Source organism: Homo sapiens, chromosome 5, assembly GCF_000001405.40.
Source record: "Homo sapiens chromosome 5, GRCh38.p14 Primary Assembly".
Lineage (NCBI taxonomy): Eukaryota > Metazoa > Chordata > Mammalia > Primates > Hominidae > Homo > Homo sapiens.
In genome coordinates, this window is record NC_000005.10 from 158741384 (window position 1) to 158765457 (window position 24074).

Below are 24074 nucleotides of genomic sequence, written 5' to 3' on the forward strand. Positions count from 1 at the left end.
GGTCAATATAGTGAGACCTCGTCTCTACAAAAGATTAAAAAATTAGCCAAGCATGGTGGTATATGACTGTGGTTCCAGCTACTCGGGAGGCTGAAGTGGGAGAACAGCTTGAGCTGGGGAGTTCCAAGCCACAGTGAGCCATGATTTCACTACTGCCCTCCAGCCTGGGTGACAGAGCAAGACCCTGTCTTTAAAAAAAAAAAAAAAAAAGCAGTATAATGTAATATTGAGTTTTGAACTACCTTAAACTGGTAGTTTATACAGTATCTGATGTACTTGAAGTATCACTGTTTCCCTCAAGTTTGAAATATCTCATAGCATCCCATTAAGTTTGTAGGGACACCTTGGTTGATAAGTTTAGAAAACATGGATTCACTGAGAAGCATAATATTAATTAAATGCTAAGTGCCACAATGAATTACATTCATTCATGTGTATCTTGTCTTCTTTTAATAATTACAACAGCAGCAACAGCAGCTCACACTTCCTAAGGACTTACTGTGTGCCAGGCACTTTATATGGATTAACCTATCCTTCACAACAACTCTATAAGGAGGTACTATCATTATTCCCATTAGACACAGAAGAAAATGGAGGCTTGGAGAGTTCAGACTTTGCCTAAATCCACCGAGCTAATGAAAGTAGGGGCTGGGATTCAAACCCAGGCAGTCTGCCTCGAGAGCCCTACTCTGAACCTGTTCATTAGAGCAGCAAGTTAGGCCAACCAAGGGCTCCTCAGAGCAGATCTCTAATAATTTTGGCTTCCAGGACTTTTGTGATACTGTTTTTGCTATTCATGTATCCTTCTATCTACAATCTGTTTTAGTCCTTTCCTTTGTCTCAATTTATATTCCATGAAAACACTCCAGAACCCATTTGACTTCCATTTTCCTAATAACACATTCTTCTTCCCTTTGTCCCAACCGTCCTGGAGTAAGACTCAGCTAGACTGCAGCCAGGCTACATAATTGACAGGATATATGTTCCTTTTGGAAAAGTCACTTACATTCTTTAAGTATTCCTCAACTGTAAAGTGAAGATTTAATGTGCTATTATTTGTACAGTGATTAGCACATAAATACTCAATAGGCAGTTGTTATTACTATTAATAGAATATAGGCCATGTGCTAGAAACAGGGGCAGGTGCAATGAATACAGGACTAATTAGACATATTTACATATTCCCCACTCTCAAGGAACTCCAGAGTCTAGAGGGGCAGAAAGACACAAACAGAATTCTAAAACAGTGTGGCAAATACAACAGCAGGAAGATGTGGGGTTCTAGAACAGCGGGTGTGTTACACTTGTCCTTGGGACTCAACCTTCCCCATCTCCTTTATGCTAACTTGGAATTACAGTTTAAAAAATTCTACCACCTCTGGTTCTCAAATATTACCCTGAAAATGAGCTCCATCTGGAGTAGGACACAACCATTTTAAAACAATGTAAGTTCTGTGAACAAAGGAGAAAAAAATAGGAGACACCTAATTAAGACAGGATTCATTTCCAGACTTGGGGTGTTTTATACTGTTTAATTAATTAAATAAAATTGCAGGCTTGCTGTATACAAGGCCCCATGCTTAAGAAGATGAAAAGAAAAAGATGTACAACATGCAAGTCCAGTGCCCTGTGAGTCCCCAGCTGGAAATGATTGATTCCATTTGAAAAACTCTTCTAGGCACTGTGCCATACCCTTGAGAAGAACATGGTCCAGTGGGGAGACAGACCTGTAATTGGCTACCCAAAAATATACAAAACTGTAGCATTATTAATGTACACTGCACAAAAGGAGGAAAAAATTAATTCTCTGTAGTAGAGTCAGGGAAATACTTAGCTCAAATATCTGAGTTGGGTATGGAAAGATAAATAGGATTTTTCTACGGAAAAGGACAGGAAAAGCATTCCAGGCAATAGGAACAGAAAGAGCAAAGGGAGTTATACAAAAGATGTGTTCAAGTAGGGTTGGATGTTCCAGTTTGGGCAGAGTACAGCTTAACATGTTGAGAGTGAGGTGTTAAAGGTTAACCATAAGTAACAGTATTGGCCTTGGTGCCTTGCTAAGAGCAGGTAGAGAGCAAGGAGTCATTTAAGATTTTCCAGATCGTAGGAGCAACACGATGTGATCAACATTTTAAAGAGCCATAGAAGTAAAATGAAGGTTGGCTCTTAAAGGCAGCATTATTGTAATAATCCAAATGGAAAATAAAAGACCAACTAATGATGGGGTGGTCATGGAGGAAAAAGTAGATTTCAGAGAGATATTTTAGAATAAAATCTACATGAATTCAGCAACATGCCAGATGTAAGGCAATACGAAGAATGGGGGATGGCTGACATTTCTAATTTATCTGACTGAGTGGAAACAGTGGCCATTTAGCAGAAAGAAAACTATATACAGGAGGAAAAAAAATCATGAGTTCAATTTCAGACATGCTGGAATTTAGGTGCCAGAAGATCTAGGTAAAAATATTTAGTAGACAGTCGAGAATAAAGAACAGAAGCTCAGACTGGGCACGGTGGCTCATGCCTGCAATCCCAGCCCTTTGGGAGGCTAAGGTGGGTGGATCACTTGAGGCCAGGAGTTCAAGACCAGCCTGGCTAACATGGTGAAACTCCGTCTCTACTAAAAATACAAAAATCAGCCAGGTGTGGTAGTGCATACTTGTAGTCCCAGCTACTTGGGAGGCTGAGGCAGGAGAATCGCTTGAATCTGGGAGGTGGAGGTTGCAGTGAGCACTGCAGCCTGGGCAACAAAGTGAGACACTGTCAAAAAAAAAACCAGAAGCTTAGGAAAAAGATCAGTGATGGAGTTAATTCTATCAGGAACACCAATATATAGGTAATAGCAAAAACCACATGTGAAAAGAGAACCCAGGGCAGACACTACGGGGAACACAAGCAGGTAAGGAATGGTTAGAGAGAGATTGAGAGACAAAACAGGACAAATACACGTCAAAAAGGTATAGAAAGAATACCAGGAGAGAATAGTATCACCGAAACGAGGAACTCAAAATATAAGGTGTTATCAACACCATCTAGTGCAGTCAAGCAACCAACCAGGAGAGGTCTGAGGAGAAGTTGTAAATGTAAGCAAATTTGTAAATTAGTATATTAGGAAGTTGTAAATGTTATACTAAGATCATTAGCATAAATGGCACACACAGTTTCAGACAACTTGTGGATGCTTTAATCCTAAAGTTCTGGTTTTCTTCAGTCTCACTCTATAACTCCCAGTAAAAAGATATGAACCTAAATGAGTAAGTGAGGTTGGCAAACTTGTTTGCCCAATTGTAGCTTAGCTTATCATAAGAGCCATACAAGAAAGCGTGGAGGACACTCAGTCCCAGATCAGTCCCCAGTCCTAAAGAAAACTGTAGAACTTCAGATGCCTCAAGGCAAAAGCTGTCACATTCACCGGAAACAACTATGATGATAAACCTTGAGCTGACTTTTAGATTTGGTTAATTCCTGTTAGTATATTTGGAGCAGTGAAGATGAGGGGATTTCCATGGTTCTTGATGTTTTCTGCTGACACTCTTAATGCCTGTCTTTTAAGAAGTGGATTGAACTAAGTTAATGACTTAAGGTACCCAGTGAAGTTCTACTTCTTCTAATCTACCCTAGATTTGGACTTGTGCTCCGTCTCCTCGCCACAAAATATTGACAAAATATAGTGTATAATAACTAGAATTTAATCTTCCCCTTTGGATGTTGGTGGTCTTAATATTGGTCCCCAGCGTCTTACAATCAATAGATGTTTAGTTAAGCAGTTCACTTGTTTTGGAGTAACAGTTATTGTGTGGGCAATGGGTATGTGGCCACTTCCGCAATAACCCCGGGTCTCCTGACAGAGTGAACATTACAATCACATATTTGTTGCTATTAGCTCGTGAGATGGTGGAAACCAATTTTGAAAAGCAAGTAATAAAGCACCACATAAAAAATAATGGTGTAATTACTTCTTGGTCAGGTAATACCTACTGTGACGATAAAAACCAAAGGGAACACCAAGCATCAAAAGTGGGTTTGCTGTAAATTTGACACTGGTTCTGACCTTCAGCAAGGAAAAGGTTTGAACCCACCCACCTAAGCCAGGTACACAGAAGACTCTTTGTGTCGTGTATCTTTACCAAGTCTCCATGTAAAAGCATTTTAGTGAATTTATCTCATTAGTGCCTACATCAGTTCTCAAGAGCTGAAGAGACTAGACCAGTTGCTACATTACTGACCCAAAGGCTTTCATAATCTCATTTGAATTTAGGCCCCAAAGAAAGGGGTCTGGTAACTGCATTAGAAAGAAATTGCCATGTGGATATAATTTGTTGTCTAAATGTAGAGGATAAAGAGGGAGGGTGGGGGTTCTAATTGGAATATGGACCACACTGTCCAGGAGAAAGTGAAAATAATGTTGGCTGTTGCTGTTGATCTATAAGCAAACACCCTGGTAATCCACTAACCTAAGTGGAAGAAACCAATCAGCCTCCACCTTCAGGCTCTGATTCTTTCTTTCACGTGCCATCCCAAGTGCTAGAGAGGCTTTCCTAATTCCCATGGAATAATGTGGGTGAGTGTAGGGAGTGAAAGAGAGGCTTAGCTAAAGTTATGCCCTGAACTTTTAAGGATAGGATAGCACAGTCCATGTTTCAGGACATCATGGTTAAGTTTTTATTACTACTGCTTTGGGTTATTTCCAGCTTGGGGGAAGACTCGTGGTTAATATTTCTGTTTAGCTTGTCTGAGAGCTGCAAATGGTTCTCCTAAGGTACACGCATCATTAGAAGACTTTATGACAGGACGCTGTTAGAGCATAGCATTTGTCACAGCACAAGATGAAGCAAAAGTAGGTTAGCTTTTACTAATAAAAGTGACAATTGGTTAAATTCTTAATAACAGCAACTTTAATGGAGATAATGAGAACTCTTATACCCAGAAGGTTGGTTAGAAATCAGTACAAGCTTTCTGGAGGGCAAACTGGCTATTTTGGGTGGGGAGGATGAAAGAATTTTAAGCTTAGAGACTGGATCTGTATTAAGTTCAGAGGCATCCCCAAAAGTAGGCCCAGTGGCCACATAAACTATTTTTCCAAGTGGGCAAAGGCCTTTAGAAATGCCATCTAGCGTTACCAGAAGCCCTTGTTCTTGCTAAGATTCCTCTGGACCTCTTTTTCCTTCTAACTGGAATTAAGAGACTGAAGTTCCCCAAACTGAATCTTGCATTTCTCTCTATATTGATGGGTGGAATGGACCTGCTTAAAACCAACAAGGAAAAAAAAAGTGACCTTCCTTCTATACTCTCTCTATAATCTTCCTGCTCCTATTGAAGCCTGGTGAATTTAGAGGAAATAAAAATACATATTTAGCTCCATCTGCGGAATTCACTTTGCCTGAGACCAATATGTGAGATATTGTTGCTGGCTTTTTCAGAGGGCTGGGACATATCTACAGGAGCAGAGATCGGCTTGATAAACTGCTGACCTATTCTCAAATGGAAAATTTTTGTGATTATATTGGGACAATAGGTATTGTGACCCTTTAAGGACAAAATCAAATATACTGGATTGCATTTTTCAAAAGCTACCAAAACAACTTTTAGATACGAATACATTCTTCTAAGTCTCCCTTCTAACTCTAGATTTAACAGTGTGATCTTGATGTGGTCAGGTAGAGAGGGGCAAAGGCACATCTACTCAATCAACTTCAGAACTTTATTACTGCAAAAATCTTCCTTCAGCAAACACAACCAGGCTTGGAAAGCCTAAGTGACCAGTGTAAGATCAACAGCTAGTCAACAGCTGAATCACAACTAAAACTCAAATGTTGGAGCCGAACCAACCCCAGTCCTCTGTGTCATTCCTCCATGTAAGCCTGACTTAAAATAAATAGGATCATTTGTTGAGAAGCGGTTCTGAGCATTTCACTTTTGCAAACTTAATTTTTTCCTTTGGATACCCCAAAAGGTAGATATTCCTATTTCACAGATGAGAAAACTGTGGCTGCTAGTCTTGGGTGAAGGATTGGTAGGCAAAGAAATGAAATGTGATTGAATTGCACCTATGGAAAAAGACAACATCAAATCTGTCATTCAGATGACATCTTCATATACATGATCTATCTCCTATTACTGCTGGCCATTTCAAAGCCAAATAGACCTGCCACTTTATAAAACAAACACCAACTAAAAGGAAGACAACAAATGTTCCCAGGACCCTGAAAGTATCATGGACCATGTCTACAAAGCATCCGCATGTTTTAAAGCCATTGCCAAGCTGTCCTTTAAAGGCTGTTTTGCAAAAACCTCCAAGACTAAAAACAACATGCTGTGACTTTACCTACATTCTTGTAATGGAAATGAGATAAGAATAGTAGTTCATAGTAATTGATGCACAATGACCTTGTGCCAGTGACTGTGCTAAGCACTATCTTACAAATCACCAACTCTTTGCTGTCTCTGTGAAGTCTGTACTGTTATCATCACCATTTTACAGGAGAAAGACCCTTAGGACGATAGAGGGGTGACGGATCTTGCCTAAGTTGCACAGCAGTAAGAGCTGAACCAGGGCAGGCTGTCACTATTGTTCACTGGCTTCTCTGTGATGGACTGCCCCTGTGGAAGCATTTAGCTAATACATTGGAAGTAATGGTGTTATCTTTCCCTTCAGGACAACACAGGAGAAAACAAATAGTAAAAGATGCCTACAGTAAAAATATCTGTCTTAGACTTGAAAAATATAAATGTATATCCACATATGCTACATAAAGACTTGACTTGGTTAAGACATATGTTTTAAAAGGGAAAGTTGCCAGAATGGATCACACTTAAATACAAAACCAGTTTCTGTGCGGTGTGTGGTGGTGACATCACCCACAAAAAACATGGGAAATGACACACGCTTCTCCATGACCATCGTCCAGCTTGTTTAATCTCAACTGGCAAGTTTCCCCTCATCAAGTAAGTTGAAAATGGTTATGGAATCCAGAGGTAGCTCCGGATAACACGGGTGGAATTCTGGTATGCCTTCTTCATTAACTGCTCATAACCCAGAAATGAGAATAAAGCTGCTCTTCCTGGGGAGTCTTTTAACTGAAAAACCAATCTTAATTGAATGCACATATCAGTTAACTATCTTCGGATTCACAAACCATTAATGCCCCATTTTCACATAGTGTCTTCTTTCTGGCTTGTCTGAAGGCTGGCATTCTCAGGGCTGTGCTTAGAGGAATGTGAGATTCAGCAGGAATATGGAAGGGACAGGAGAGAAAAGAAGAGAGCATATTAAGTGCTCATCTTCACAACCAAACGAGCGTTCTGGGACTGAGCAGTAAGAGCGTCAAATAATGCTGCCCTTGCAAAATTGACGTCCTCCCATCACTGCTCCGAGTCAGTGGCAAAGGAATCACAAATAATGCCATTCTGCCCTCTGAATACCAGTTAAGCAGGCTTCAAATGTGCCTACTGAGGGAAGAGGAGGCTTGTAAATAGAGCCTGGCAGATGTAAAAGGATGGTATAATGATCAAAGGAGGGGGGAAGAAAACTAATTGCAGATTTCTCTCTTGAAATATTTGGCCTGTTTGAAAGTCCCACTTTGTCTCTCCAGAGCAGAAAAACCTAAGCAGGAGTTTGAGGTGTGTCCCCAAGGCAATCTTGTCAAGTTGTGGCCCACAGCATGGCAATTCCCTGTGGAAGAGGGCCTAGATTGACTGCCCTTCTATGCCAGGAGAAGCAAGCTCCTTGAGGAAGCACATACCTCTTCCCGAGTATGTGGCCTCTTAAAGTGACAAGGGTGCAAGAGTATGTATCTCTGCTAATAAAGACATCATTTACAATTGGACTTTGTGAAAGACAGAAGCGTATTTAAGTTCTTTCTGAATTTGGAACTACTTGGATCCTATCAAAAACAATTTTCTAATTGTCATTAAAATACTGGAAACCATGAAGAAGATCCACCTCCCAAAATATGCAATGCCATCTCTTTAGATTTCCTGCTTTTGCTTTGGAAATAAACTCAGAATCTAATAGTCTTCCCCTTGGCCAAGATTCTAAAACCAACAGTGACCATAATCCTGTAAACACAGAAAGAGATTCCTAACTCACTATATTCCTGGCCTTGAAACTTTGGTGTGGAAGGCACCACCAAATCAGGTCACTTGAGTCTAGGATCAACCACGCTACAGTGAAGTCAACACTTGGTAGAAAACTGTGAAAGTGGGCTCTAGTATACCTCCTAGCAATGCCATTAGTTGTGACATAAGTCAATAAGTTCCTATAGAGTTTAGGATTTGGGGAAAACAGGTAATACTTTTGTATTACACGAGGGAGGTGAATATACACTGAATAATAGCAGTGATGAGTTTCTTTTACACGGCAGGAATATTTTCTTGGCTGTTGGATTTAGCATATCAACAAGGGAGGCTGGACATACCTTTTCTCAGAGTTTCATTAGCCTGCTAGAATATTTAGAGGTCTGGGCAAGGTAAACTAACTCTCCCATGTTTGTGCTGAAGTAGAGGTACAGGTCCCACTCTGAGTATTGAATTATCTTTTCTCATGATGACATCAACATTGAAACTACAGAGAGCCTCTTTTGTAGTCAACAGTATGGGACACTGGATTTTTATCTCCCTTTGGACAATGAGATTGTGGTTAGCATAACACTGGTAAATCTAACATTAATGCTCTGTCAAAAATTGTTTTATGAAGGCTAGAAAGAGGTTGGAGAGAAAGGAGGTGCATCCAGGAATAGATACAAAAACATTGAAAGAGAAACTGAAATCAATTCTGTAAACAGCAGAAGTCAAAGCATCGTAGTTGTCATTAAGCACCTACCATTATAATATTCAAACAATAAGATATTTCCTGAAATATCAGATCAATTCTTAAAGGAGAGCTGTTCCCAGTGGGGTTTACTTGTGGTCCTCTGTCCGACATCCATTAGACAGGGTCCCTGTCTTTAGTAGCATGGGTTCAAACAAATGATAAGAGAGGAAATAGATTCCATTCTCTCTGTTTACTTTATTACTATTGATTTATGAATTCCCTCTGATCTATTTCCTAACTGGGCAGATAATATACATTTAGTACCAAAGGTAATTATCCAAAATGAATCTAGTTTGCAACTGGGTGATAAAAAAGAGAGAGGAGACTGATAGATTAAATACTTATCATTAAAAAGTATGGCTGATTGTATTAATATAGATACAAGAGCTTTAATATTCTCACTTTACGGCTAGATATAATTTCCTAGACTAATTGTGAGTTCATGTGGACACTTGGGCATATTTTATTTCTACTCTATATTTTATAGCATCATTTTATAGTGCAAATAATAAAAGCATTATATGAAAAAATTATTTCAAAAGTTTTTTTTAAAAATCTACCACTTGCAAAAAAAAATCATTTAGGGCATTTAAAAAAAAATCTTCATAAAGGGATAGAACATTTAGTTACCACAAATTACTATGGTTTTTAAAGCATCAAAGTTAGAGAAAAGAGCAAAGATTGTATCATTATACGAGTATAAATAAAACAACTTAAATTTCTAGCAATAGTGAATGGATAAATAAATATAGTAAATCCACACTGTGGGAGATGATGCAGCCTATTAACATGTTTATGAAGAAATTTTAATGCGTGGGAAAATGCTTATTAGGCTATGTGAAAAAAACAGGATATAAAACTGTGTGTGTGTAAACACATATACAGTATAACCACAAATACGAAGAAAATGTTCATATATATTTGTTATGTATAGAAAAATATGAAAGAAATATACAAAAATCTTTTTAGTGGTCAACTCTGGGTGATGGCTATTGGATGATTTGAACTCCTTAAATTCTATCCTGTTTTTCTCTAAATTTTCTAAATTAGCACATATTATTTTTATATCTAAGCACGTATTAGAGAGACGGGCGAATGAACAACTTAGAATGAATGGAAGGTAGGACACATGTTGCGTTTGCCCCTGGCTCATAATGACCTGAGGGCCATCACATGCCAGGGACTCCTTTACTGATGCCTCTTTGGAACCTCTCCACTTACAGGCAGAGTAAGCTGTCTGCAGAATCCTACCAGATGTGTCCAAGCGTCATACACTCAGGGATCATCACACTTTTAAAAGACATACGTAGTTATAGAAATACCAAAGTACTGAGGAAAGAGTACAGTGGAACAGTTAAGAGGATGAATTCTGGAGTCAGACGGTCTGGCCAGGTTCCTCCACTTGAGTAACTCTGGCAAATGCTTAATCTATGTCTCAGTCTCCTTACCTGTTGAATCAGGACAGTCAAGTGCCTTCCCTATAGAGATGTTCAGGGATTCAATGGGCTAAATATTTGTAAAACACTTAGAAGACTACGTTATACAATAAGTACTTATCCATTAAATGAATACATCTTTAAAATTCTGATAATATTGATCAGAATCAACTTACAAATAAAGAAATGGACATGGCCAAAATATTTATAAAACATTTGAGCATTTGTAAGTTGCTGAGGCAAGGGTGCAATTTCAGTTGAGCTTAAGTCGAGACTCAGGATTGTAGTGGTTTTAGATGGTTTTTTTATACTGCCAAAGATCTGTCCATCCATACATTTTTATCTAGAATGATGTTGATGATGCTAAGGTTCAAGGGAATAATTACTATGTGCAGTACTATTTGTAGTGTTTTGTTCCCCACTCTATATTTAGATTCTAACAGAAGATGTGAAACTAAATAGATACTCAATAAAAGTTTACTGAATGAAAACACAAATGAATGACTTCACCACAGCTGCATCAAGTTGTCTAAATATGATTATATTTCCACAAAGGAGCCATTGTTAAATGAACTTTCCCTCTATTAAGAACTAGGATTGAAGTATCAAATTTCTTAGAATCTAAAACTTTTTACTATTATAACTTAGAAACAATTAGATGGCAAGATTAAAAGGGGAAAAAGTATTTATTCCAAAAAAAAAAAAAAAAAAGCACAGCTTAGGACTTGAATATCTTCAAGGATCCATTTCTTAGGAAATCTATAAAGATGCAGAAAGCTTTAGAAATGGAGATACCAAGACAGCAATGGCAGCACCAATAAACAGAAATAGACGGTTCATCTCACTAGTTCTGTGGTTTTCTCCTACCCAGTAGAGCGTGACAAGAGAATGTTAAAGTAACTGAAATCAAGAACAATACTGGAAATAAGAACAGTCTACAATGGCAAATTTTTACTGTAATACATTTCGTTACTGAGTGAGGGAGGAAAACAACTGTTTTTAGATACTGTCCATTGTTTTCTATACATTTCAAAGCTCCTCTTCACACATGTAACTTTCAAACTGACAGTGGTAACTTTCAGCATTTTGTGGAGATCTTGGCTCCAATGCAGCAAATAAGAAGTGAAATGTCCCACGGTTGTAAAATCTTGATAAGTTATCCGTGTCACATTTTTCAAATGTGGAACTGCTCACACCACACAGATAATTATAGATGACCAGATTGTAACTGTTTTATTGCTTCTTTTTCCCCATAAATTTTAATTTTGGAAAGTTAAGTGAAAAATGTGGTTTCAATTTCCTACAAATTGCACACAATTTGGTTTTAACAAGAAAATAGAAAGAAAGGGTATGTTCTTTAAAGTGAATTATGAACTAGAGTTTGTTTTCGCTCGCTCAACACCGCAAAAATAATAAAGCACAAAATTTAGAAAAGATGCCTTACAAAATGGAAATCATGAACTATAGTAAGAAAGCAGAAAGTAATTTTTTTTTATCTAAACATGATTTAAGCAATCTAACAGGATAATATAATTGAGCTAGTCTTTCTCCCTCTGGTGAAGCAAGCTAGAAGGAAAGGATACCGGAGTAGAAGCCGACAATCTTAATACATGTATAACAGGAAATCTGTTAATAAGAAAAGGCTTTGTGTATCTCCATCTTACTCTCTCCACAACTGTCAGCAACAACAAAAGAACTATTAAAAGCAATCAATTTTGAAACCATTTAAACATATACCTAGAAACACAACAAAACACAAGAATTTATAAAGGAACTTTTAGTGGAAAGAAATTCTAGCCCTCTGATGGGTTCTGGCTATAATCTTAGAGTTAGACCAACATGCTTTCTTGATTCAAGGTAGTGGTCTGCTACAACTAGCATAACTAAAGGCAGGAACCCCATGAAGTGTCTCGACCACACCAAAACCACCAGCTGGAAAGCAAATAAGGAAATCAATCAACCAGATATTTTTTCTCCTTTCTGCCAAAAACTTTGAGTGAATGCACTTTTCTTCATTAAATTGACCACTGCTTTCACCTTTTTAGCAATGTAGACTGTTAGGCAAAATAAATTATTCATTATTCAGGCAAAAACTATTTCATCAAAGTTGTTGATCTTCATTGACCAAATTCTCCATGGCCTATGTTACTAAATAGCACCACCATAGCTTTCTCAAATTTCTACTTCCAAAAATGTTTACTTTCAGACAGATTGTGACGACCACAAAACTTACCTGCATGAGTATTCTATAAACAAAGTTGTTGTAGACCAAATGTTAACATGAGTCCCTGGTAAAATGTTGTAGCCCTAGATTTTTTTTTTCTGGCTAAAATATAGTATTTGCTAATTTTTTTTCTAACTAGGGTTTAAAGTTGCAAGTCTAGAGTGCTTCTGACTGTTAGAACATGAGGCTGGCTTATGAAGGTCCAGTTATAAGCTGGGACTTGGCAAACTTGAAGTATTACCCATTGACTAATACTTCTATTAGTCAAAACTGTAAACTTCTGGTCAACTACATATTTTACATATTACTGCATGAAGCTCTAGCAGAAGTTCACCATCCTAAATAGCCTTTAAAGGCTTCACAATTAACAAGAGATGATTTACTCTCTTGAAATATAAAAGCTGACTTTTCCCACCCAAAAGCCAATAAATCTTTGGTGTTGGTGAAAGGCCATTCTCTACCTGTAGCAATCAAGTTATGCAACCCTCAGGCAATGACTTTTCATTGAACTCAGACCTGACTGACCACAGCATTCACAAACATCTCAGTCCCCAGTGCTCAACTGACAGTGCAGCCTGATCGCCACGATGTTGCAATAGAAGGAAAGAATTTCCTAGCAAAATGCTCCAAAGCTTCAATAACATAAGAATCCACACAAGGCCATCTTGAGAAGGAAGCAAGTGATATGGTTTACTCTTAAATCCAGGCTGGAGTATTCTTCATTCATTCATTTATTTATTCTGTCAATAACTTTTCCAAAAGAGCCTCCTCAACCTATGCCACTCACCAGCCTTGATTCCAAATCTATGATATCAGATTGGATTTTTTTCTAGTTAGAAAAAGTATTAGCAAATACTACATTTTGACCAGATCAAAAACACCATCCTGACCTGACAAAGACCCCCAAATATTTGACTCATTGTAATAAGCACCTTATTTTGCTCTAAACAAAAGTATTTAGATGACAATGGATGAATATTGGAAACTCTACTCAATTCAATGCAAACAATTTTAATTGCAAGGAATTTTTCTTACTTAAAATTGAATTCAGTTGAGTGCTCAGGCTTTTCCATAGCATGATAAAGAAAATGAAAACACCCTAAGTAACCTCAAATCTCTCATGAGAGGTCGGGGAGATAAGGTATTAAGAGGACAGAGTGGGACAATGACAACAATGAGTTTGGGACATCATTTGTATAAGGTCCTGGACTATTGTAGAACATATTATGGCTGAGAAGTAAAATTAAAAGGGGGATAGATGATGATGGTGTAGAGTTTTTCTTATAATTTCTTATAAACTAATGTTTATTGTTTTGTTTTTTTTTCACATATAAAGACTGCCCATTGCCCAATTTTAAGAAGATGGAGCTCAGTAATTAGGAAAAAAGTAGAAAACACACATTTAAAGTAATCTTTCCTACCCTGAGCCCCCTGGCCATATCCCCTCCCCACTTCTCTAGTTCCCTGGACTCCCAGGTTAGGCTGTCTTCTCCCTAGCCATTTACCCAGATTTCTACCAGAGCATTTTGTCACTTTGATTTGCATCATATGCCAGCACAGCCTGCCTCCTGTTCATCCTTGCTCTGCACCTGTCTCCTATTTTATCTTAGTGCTTTGTACCACACTTTGCACATAGTTGACATTCAATAAAAGGCAGAGAATGAAATTCAAGAGACGAATAGACTTCTACTTTAGGAAGTTCATTTTATTTTCAAGCTCCTAAATCTTTATTGGGATTAACTAGCTGAAGGCCTAAAAGTGGAAAGAAATACAGGGATTGGGAAGGCATTTTGAGATATTTGATGGACTTGGAACTCCCACAGAATTTTAAAAAAGAAAACAAAGGCTGAGGCCTGCAAGGGCCTTGGTACAATGCCCTTGGAGGGAGAGGGGCTTCATGGAAAATGGTTGCCATGATAGGATTTGGGGAGAACCTCTATGTTTGAGGGAGTTTGGGTCAGGACCTATCCGTGGAAGCAAAAACTAGTGCCCAAATATTCAAAACATAGTTTGGTGAAAGATCACCTATGATTCTGAACGAAATAGTGTAGATAAAGACATCTGGAAGTTTTCCTATTGAAAAAAAGAAAGTGTGAAATCAGATACTTTTGTTTTTAAGGCTCTCTTTCTTAAATTTCCTAACTTGGCCAAAATGTCAATGGTACTTTAGCAGCTTAAAGAGCTCAGCAGCAAACCTTACTAAGTTCTGTAGTTGGCCCTGGCTGCTAACTTGCTGAATGTGTTGGGCTGTTGAGGTGAGTTCTACTGGAGTCTTGGTTGAGCCCCCCAGATTCCAGGCTCTCATTCTGGCAGGCTGTTTCCCTCTGGCCAAATCTCAACCACAGATCAACTTTCCCAGCCTCTGGAGATGAAGCGTTTTGGCTGCCTTCTGACCAAGTGTGAGAATTTTTTTTTTTTCTGTTTATGAGATAGACTATAGCGTGTTTCCCAGGGTAATCAGTCATCTTGACCTGTGATCACAGGAAAAGGCAGACAAAACTGGGAGAGTCTAGATCAATGGATTTGTTTTGTAAAATCACTGAACTCTGTTGGGACAAATTTGATTTTTTCTTTTGCCCCCTTTATTTTTTTAAATTGAGTAACTTACTCATTCTTCAAAAATTACTTAGAATATTTTACTTGAATCCATTCCTGATTAAAAATAACCTCTTGAAGTATAAACGTAATGGTTTTTGAATTCCTTTTTTATTCCTTCATCAATCCACTTATCTGACAACCATTACAGGACTTTAACTCTCTGCCAGTCATTGTGCTTGTGGTGCCTAACATGCAAACTCTATCCTTGCAGCTGCCTTTTTTTTTAATTCCCCAGTAAACATTTAATAAAGAAATAGATGAATGAATGAAAGAATGAACAAATGAATTAACTAAATAATGAAGAGGGCAAATTCAAACTGGAGAGACAAGCAGAACAGTGTGAAATTCATGCATGTGCCACGGTTTGTGTGTGCCTATGGATTTAGGACATTCTACCACAGATTTAAAATGTGGACACGTGGGCACTAATTCCTGTAGCCTTGAAGTTGAGGCACTGGACATAAAAGACAAAGTTAGTGGAGCCTTTCTGTAAAATAACATGACTTCTCACCCTCATGCTGAAAAAAAAAAAAAAAAGAAAAAGAAAGTGGGCTCATTCCAAATACCCCATCACCCTTCACAGGCTGAGCCAGGAGCTTGCCTCCTTGTGGCTAAATTGGAACAATGCTTTGCTCAGTTTGGACCCAGATGTCAGTGTGGTGGTACAGATGGCAAGACCACACATCTGCTTACAAAATTTGAGAGGAGAAAAGGGCTTCAGTGGCATCCAGGGCTTCAAAAGGCATGCTACATGCATACATCCTAAAGGGAAGGCGGGCTCTCTGCTGGGTAACCCATAGTGATCAGTACAATACCACCCTGTTTCCCTTGTAGGCTTACCCCTGCACTCTCCTTCCTGCAAATGTTTATAGCCTCCCTTCTACTGCATCAAGTCAGACTTTAACTGTCTCTCATTACAAGAGTCACTGAGGAAAGTATGGAACAAACTGAAACTTGAGGAAATCAGACTTGTTAGACTATAATTTCTATGAGGGCAGGGATTATGCACATCTTTGCACATTATGTACGTGGTATCTCCGGTAACTAACATACTGAGGATGATTAATAAATATTTGTTGAATGAATAAATGGGGCACAGTGCAACATTTCCATTACCTTTGTGCCTAAATACTGAAGATCATGTTATACGCACAAGAGCCTGGACTCTGAAGCCAGTCTGCCAGTGTAAAAGTCCTGCCTTTGCCACTTTCTAGTTGCATAACCTTCAGCAAATGCTGAACACCTCTTTGACTCAGTTTCTTCATTTGTAATACAGCGATAATAATACTACCTGTCTTGTAGTGTTTTTAAGATTAGATGTCTAAAAATATGTTGAGTGCTTAAAACTGTGTGGTAGAGTAAGTGCTTTGTGAGTGTTAGCAGCAGTAGCTGTTTGTTATTTATTAATAAGAATCGGGGGCTTTGTTCATTCAGCAAGCACTTTTTGAGCATCTTCTAGACAAGGCATAGTACGAGGCACTGGAAATACACTTGTAAACCAAATGGAAGTAAACTCTGAGATAATCACAGATTGAGAACCACTTAAAGTCTTTAATAACAGCTACCATTTTTTGAGTTCTTCATGTGCACCTTTTATCATGTGCCAAGTACTTTACTCGTATTATTTCAATTGTCACAACAAACTAGTGAAGAAGATATGCTTATTTATTTTCTCCATTATTGAGGTAAGAAAATAGAGGTTTAAATGATAATGTAATCTCTCTATGGCCAGAGGGCAAGGTCTTGACTCTTGATCCATTCATTTACTTAACATCTACTGGGTACTGCTGAATACAAAGCTCTGGGCTGATGAGAGAGGACTTATACACGTAAGAAAATCACAGTGACAGTCACAAGTTTGTATTTCAATAATCAGCCTGTCTCAAATTAAAAAGAAGCACACAACAGAGAAGGATTACAATAGATTAGCTAGGATATGACATTTATCTTCCTGAATTTGAGACTACACTATGAAACAACCAGCAGAATGGCCAACAGTTGACTTTTGACAATCTGTTTGCCCACAAGGGAAAAACTAGTGTTTTAGGACAATTCAAATGCACCTGCCCTTTATAAAACATCAATGACTTTTTTAAAAAAACATATGAGCTATTAGAAAAGTAATCTTAATATTCTTTTTAATTCAGGCACCAAGAAGCTAAGTAATCATTGTTGCAATTAATTGCTTTCATGTTGCTTGCCACTTTCTTTTCATTATGAGAAATTAAAAGACAGAAGCAAATTATACAATATATATTTATTCAAACTGAGATGACGTGACATCATTTACTGTATTTGTACTTCCCAAACATGGCGTGGTTATTCTTTTAAAACTAAAATTCCTCTAGCTCCAAACTGACTTAGCATACTCCCTGCAGTGATACACTTGATAATCATGACTCAAAAATGTGGAGCTAGAAAAGGCTGAGATAATATGTTGTCACTCCCATATTTATCACCACATTTCCTGAATCATCCAGCTTCATAATGATGATTTCTTTTCATTCTTTGCACTGTTTGGCAACTACATGTTTTGTGAATACCTAAAACGCTTATAAATATTCTCTTCCCTTGGAACCAATAAATCTTGAAAATTAAAAGACAAAGTTAAAATGACTTGTGCACTTCACCAACGTCTCCATTAAATGTACCATACATCTCACAATTTCAATATTCACAGTTTAAGACTCAGTGACGACTTTCAATCTTACTATGTGGATAAAGAAGGAGGGGTGTGCTTTGCAGTTTATTGAAAGCTATTTTGGGAGTTAGTCTTGATAGTTAGATGTCTTATTCTTTCTGCTTCTCCATCCTTCCCCCTCTATTCGCCTTTATTGTCACCAGGCATGAGCCTCTTGTTCCATGGACCTATTTTTTTAGAGTCAGAAAGGGAGAGACAGATATTACAGAAACAACAGTTTCAAGGATCTGCTACAATGACATGAATCAATGTTTTTGAAATTTCAGGAAGCTTGATCTACTGAGAACATAGTCAGCTGGTACGGCTCATATTTCTAGATAATGATCACAGAGTGGCTGGGGGATGGGATAGGGAGAGTGAATCTTCTGGGCAAATGATAGCATAGCGTGAGCGCTGGGGAAAGTCCACAGATGCTTGGAAATAAAAATAAGTGTACCTGGGTGATGCTGTGAGGGCTTACAGTGCTATCCATTTGTATACTGTACAAATTCTAAGGTACACATGGCTGTCTAAAGAAGTCCTCTAGCTCCCCTCATTGCACTGTACCAGATCATCCTCCCTATTTCTTTCTTAACACTTTTGCCAATCTGATTATTATCTTCTCTGCCTCCTTGTGTATTGCCTGCCTTCTTTCACTGGAATACAGGTGTCTTGGGGGCAAGAACCTCACCTTTCTGGGTTACAGAACATAGAAAATGCCTGGAACATAATAGCTATTCAAAATGTTTTAATTAAATTGGAATTTGAATATTATTGCACCCTCCCCTCCAAAAAAAAAATAATGTGACAACAAAATATTCATGTTTCCTCAATACTACTTGTAAGATCATCTTAAAGTCTGAAAAGAACCTAGAATTCTTCGGGAATGAAATACAGTCTGCCATTTTAAGGCCTCACTGTGATGATAGTACATTGCCAAGTAGATTTGTCCTTTAAGACTTTAGAAATTCTAGGTGAATTAATAAATTCACGGTTATCACAAATCAGAAATTCATGACTTATGAACTTGAATTTCAAAGTTTCAGGCCAAATTTATTTAAAGATTTTGCTCAGGAACCATCATAGTCCTGCTGAGTCCAAAAATTGTCTTAAAATGTAAAACAATGCCCCATTAAAGCAAAAGCCAACATTTTCCATGGCCCAACGTGGCATAAGTGTATTGTTTTCAATTTAGTGACTTAACAAGAAATACAACAGCCAAGACAGGAATTCCTTCCAAACATGAGAACCCATTATATAAGATGAAGATCTGTTCGGCCCCTAAATGAACCACACAACATAGGAATTGTCATTAGCTACTATAAGGCAATGAAGAACTTATAAAACCAGAGCCAATGTGTTATTAAGACCAGGCATGGTGGCTTTAAGGCAATATAGATTTCTGAGCTATTTATTTATTTATTATTATTATTGCAGGTCCCACTCTCCCAGCCGCAACTATTCCAACTCTGCAGGACCCATGTAACAAGGCGATAGTATCTAAGAAATAATGAGCGAAGGAATGCTGTTCTTTCTTTCAGAGCAATCTCAGGTGCGATCTTATACCGTAAAGGACTGGATCAATACTCCCAGCAGCAAGCCGCTCGATACCCCCTGAATTATTGCTTCATTTTTCTTCTTATTATAGATGAGTTGTGTTATTATTTTCCTCAAATCGATATTTTACAACCTTTTTTATCCGCTTCTCCATAAATTTTGTGATTACTTTAAACTGGGAATTCCGGTACACTAAATAAGATGCAGTATCTGAAAGGGACAGAATGTACTGACATGTTTTTTGTTTTTGTTTTTGTTTTACTCTTTTAGACACAATGCCTTGTTTAAAGCACGTCATAATCAATAGCCAAAGAAAAGTTTAACATAACCCTGTGCTTGCAAAATAAAAGTGCAAATCCTTTAAAATAGCAACAGCCCAAACAGCACAAAGCTGAAAAACACAAAAAGAGGCAGGATTGATCAGCACTTTGCATCTGAAATTTCATTCCTAATGCTTTTTCTCCCCTCAGTTAAAGGGCCAATGCAATTCCCTTAAATTGTTTCTCACAAAGGAGATAACTCTATGCACCTTGGAGAGATTTAATTGGCTTCTATAGCTGTCTCCTGCTAAGTGTTTAAAACATCAGCAAATCAAATCATGTAAACTCATATCCTGTTCTGCTGTCGGTTTGCTCCAAGCTTGATTATTTCGATGTTAACATTAGCAGCGCCTACACTCAACGAAAGAGATCAGGAATATACTCTCTCCCCGAGTTCCGGGATGACTTGAGTTAATTCTATGCTTCCTATGAAATAATGTGTGTTATTTGGCAGAGAATGCTCAGTGGTAACTAAATAATCATTACAGTGCAGCCAGTGGTAATTACATGGTAATTCACATTAACTTCATAATAAGCACTGTATTTTTCACTATATCCATCTGAGAATGAGGCAGAATCATAGTCTTTCATTTCTTTTTAATGCTACCCAAAATAAAAATAAAGTAAAATCATTTGAAGGGCAGGAGGACAAGGAATATAATCCTGGTGAGTTAAGCTAGAGATTTCATTAAAGAAATACTTAAATCCATTAAGTCTAATTAGACATGACATCCCAGGATTCACAAACAGTGGTTCTAATAAACTCATTAAAAATTTTTGGTGATTTCTTTAGAAAATGGGAGAATATTATATTATAGGCTGTTTTATTACATTAAGGTTTTATAATTTTATACGGGCTCTTCTCTTTTTATGTAAAAGCCTATGGAACTTTATAAGAATAGTTCTACTTAAATCAATGAGTCTTAAACAACAATGTGCTTCTTGTAACATGTACTTAATAATGCAATAAACTATTCTAAGTAGTATAGAATAAAATGGGGAGTACTTTATTCTGGTTGGCTAAAAGATAGCAGGATATAGGGGCTCAATTCCTTATAGCATTGCAGTGCACAATTTATACCTCAACCCCCATTTACATACATATTATTTAATTTGGGCAATTATGAAGTCCTGAAAGCACTTTTCTATTACCACCTGGATCCTTAGAAGGATTCACACCATAAATGCATCATATATAAATGTATAAAGCAGCCTTCTTAGAAGAAAGCAGCGGGAACAACTTTAATTGAATACTTATATTAGAGATTAAATTAGGTCTGTTTTTAAATGAGCTACCCTTAATTAGCTGCAGTTGGAAAAGGGGAATAGATATGTTTTACTTTTTACTCTACTCATTACCTGTAGCATCAATGGACAACTGGCCCTTTTTGGCTTTTCACCAATAATTGAGTGCCTTTTTAGGAAGGCCTGGAAACAAAATCTTTTCTTTGAATCCTAACACAAGCCCCAAATAAGGTTTAGAACAGAAATCCCTTATATAATACAATCTTGATTTTTTGTTTTGTTCTGTTTTGTTTTTGGGACGGAGTCTTGCTCTGTCACCCAGGCTGGAGTGCAGTGGCACAATCTCAGCTCACTACAAGCTCCACCTCCTGGGTTCACACCATTCTCCTGCCTCAGCCTCCCAAGTAGCTGGGACTACAGGCGCCCGCCACTGCGCCCAGCTACTTTTTTGTATTTTTAGTAGAGACGGGGTTTCACCATGTTAGCCAGGATGGTCTCGATCTCCTGACCTCGTGATCCGCCTGCCTCGGCCTCCCAAAGTGCTGGGATTACAAGCGTAAGCCACTGCACCCAGCTAATTTTTTTATGAATTGGGATATGCCATGGAAAAATTGAATGATACCCTCCTCACCTCTAACCGCAGTATAATCCTAACAACACTTTCTGGACTCGTTCATTGTTAGCCAGTCAACGTTCCTGTCGGGCATCAAACAAACAGTAACTTCACTGGGCCAGGAACACAGCACAGATCTCTTCTCAAACAGGTTTTAATCTTATCCCTGATGACCATCATCTTGCAAGTATTTCTCTCTCATTGGCCCTTAATGATTTGCCTCTAAACCCACTAAGCAGAAGATCACCGAATAAAGGCATTTACATCTTATCTCCTCAAGGACCACCAGGGGACTGAGGCACAAAGGAGGGTCCACAGACATTTTGTGGCCAAGAGGGAATTTCACCAAAAGTCTCCACTGGGCATTAAATTACAAGAGTGCAGCAGGGGACAGTATATTTGGGTGGACCCCACTAAGTCCCTCCCCAAATGGACCCAGGGAATATGATCCACCAGTTCCAATGAGGTCTTCCAACAATGTGCTGGTGTCTGACATGCCCTGCTCTTACAGTGGGCTCCCACAAAAAGATGAGATAAAGGACATGCCTTTAAATTGCGTAACTCCACTTCACCCACAGTGAAAATGGCACTTGGCTTTTCTGTGGGGCTTTGATTTACTCAGAGGTCAAGAAAACCCCCTTCTTTTTTGTCAACAGACAGAAAAGCATGTAAACAAATCAGAATAATGATGTCCATGACACCCTTTTTGTAAACATATCACATATTGGAAGGTCCAAGGAATTAAGCGTCTATACCACCTCACCCTTTCCTTGAGAGTTTACTGAAAGATTCATGAAATTAGAGAAATAAAGAGTTTATCAAACGACCATGGTGATGTTTGTTGATTGATTTTCATATACATTCAAAAATTTTATGTTTTTATATATTTGCATACTTGGGAATCTATTCACAAAGTAATTAGTAAATCCATTTATATGTGATCTGCTCTGGTTTTGTAAGCAAATACATCCTGTGTTGGTTTGGGAAAGACCCTTCCCTTATCTGAGCCTCAGCTGCCTCCTCTACAAAATGTTAGGATTGGTCCAGGCTATCTCTGAGGACCTTTCCAACTCTAAAACTCAAAATTACAGGCAACTGTTCTCTTGGATGCTCTTTTGATAAGATCCACCATTAATCAGGCACTTACTGTATGCCATGCACTGTACTAAGCTTTTTATATGCATGACCTTATCAAACCCTCACAGCAGTCCTGTGATATATTCTCATTCCTATTTTGCAGATGAGAAAAATGGAGTCTCAGAGTGGTTAAGAAACTGGCAAGAATTTGGGCCAGGATTCAAACTGGGATCTGTCATGATTCTAGAGCTCTATAGTCATACAGTTTCTTTATAACTAGGTGAGCCTAAGGAAAATATATGTAGTGTGGAGACAAGCTCTTGGCTGATAGGTGGAAGAAAAGGAATCTGGTGTAAATATCTACCACTAACTGACAGACTTTAGCCAAGTCTTTAAAACTCTGTAAGCCTTGTTTTCACCATCTATAAAGACATCAACAACTTGGACAACTAGATTATCTTGAAGACTCACATCCCATATATTTAAGGTCACATTTGTCAGTCATTCCTTCACACATTTTTTAATGCATTGATTTGACTAATATTTATTGCATCTCACTCCGTGCTGGGCACTGTGAATACACTGGTTGAGAAAGACAAGGACACGGCCTTCAGGAAGCTTATAATCTAGTGAGAGACACAGGCTACACACAAGGAAGCAAAGAAATAATTCAGATTGTATCAGCTGGTGATAGCGCTGTCAATAAAAGAACTACATGTACTCAAAGTGTCAATGCTGGGGAGGCAGCTTGAGGTTCTAGAAGCCCCCAGTCTAACTAGTGAATTATGTTCATAGAAAACTAAAAAGTGGAATAAAACTGGGATAAGTCCATTTGGTAGGTATAAAAATCTAAGATATTGAAAGGTATAATCAACTAGTTGGAGGATACAGATCTGATATCAGACCCATCACTAGATGGCTTAAATGACCATAAGTGAACCGCTTCACTTCTTTCTACACCTCATTTTTACACCTGAAAATGGGGCTAAAAATACCTGTCTTTCCTCATAAAGAACAAAAAGGAATTGATGAATGAGAAAGGCTTTGTCAACTATAAAAATGCATTTAAGTACATTTACTTGTTTCTACAAACATTATGATGAAGAAGAGACACATAGTGTCAGTAGTCAGACCTGTACTTTGACCCCCGATACAGAACATTCCAGTAAGTCACAACAATTTTTTTGCTTTGATGCTAGTAATTTTATTAAGGAAAATTTCTAAACCTTTAGATAACCCTCCTATGTCTTCTGAGCTAACCAATGCAAATGTTTCATTTTTCTAGTCTTAAAAAAGTAGAGAATTATGAGAATTACAAGCTTGCTGAAAACAGATTATTCAGAGACACTCCTTCATCTAAACCTCGCTACAAGCTCAAAGAGTCATCCTGGCCTCATTGACTATTTTAAAAATCAATTAAAACTAAAAGGAAATGATGAACGTGTGTAGAATGACTGGGAAGGCCATATTTTGTGCAGATATTTAAATGTGAATATATTTTTGGCATTA

General features: G+C 38.0%; 1 protein-coding gene across 28 annotated transcripts in view, besides 1 other annotated feature; it reads right to left on the reverse strand.

Annotated features, from left to right (window-relative positions):
- EBF1 (EBF transcription factor 1) overlaps positions 1-24074 on the reverse strand; it is a 403997-nt gene that overhangs the window by 45464 nt on the left and 334459 nt on the right. For 3 of the 28 annotated variants that reach the window (XM_017009203.2, XM_017009202.2, XM_047416892.1), the window contains exon 11: positions 17316-17941. The exons of the other annotated variants lie outside the window; for them this stretch is intronic. In XM_017009203.2, coding sequence (XP_016864692.1) covers positions 17895-17941 — 47 coding nt within the window. In that variant the 3' untranslated portion in view covers positions 17316-17894. Of the gene's footprint in view, positions 1-17315; positions 17942-24074 lie in introns of those variants that run through there. 28 annotated transcript variants of the gene reach the window in all.
- Positions 11064-11183: a silencer, noted in NCBI's record as "silent region_16566". NCBI's record gives its function as "represses an Ori minimal core promoter by ATAC-STARR-seq in GM12878 lymphoblastoid cells {active_cell/tissue: GM12878}" and the evidence as "EXISTENCE:reporter gene assay evidence [ECO:0000049][PMID:35858748]".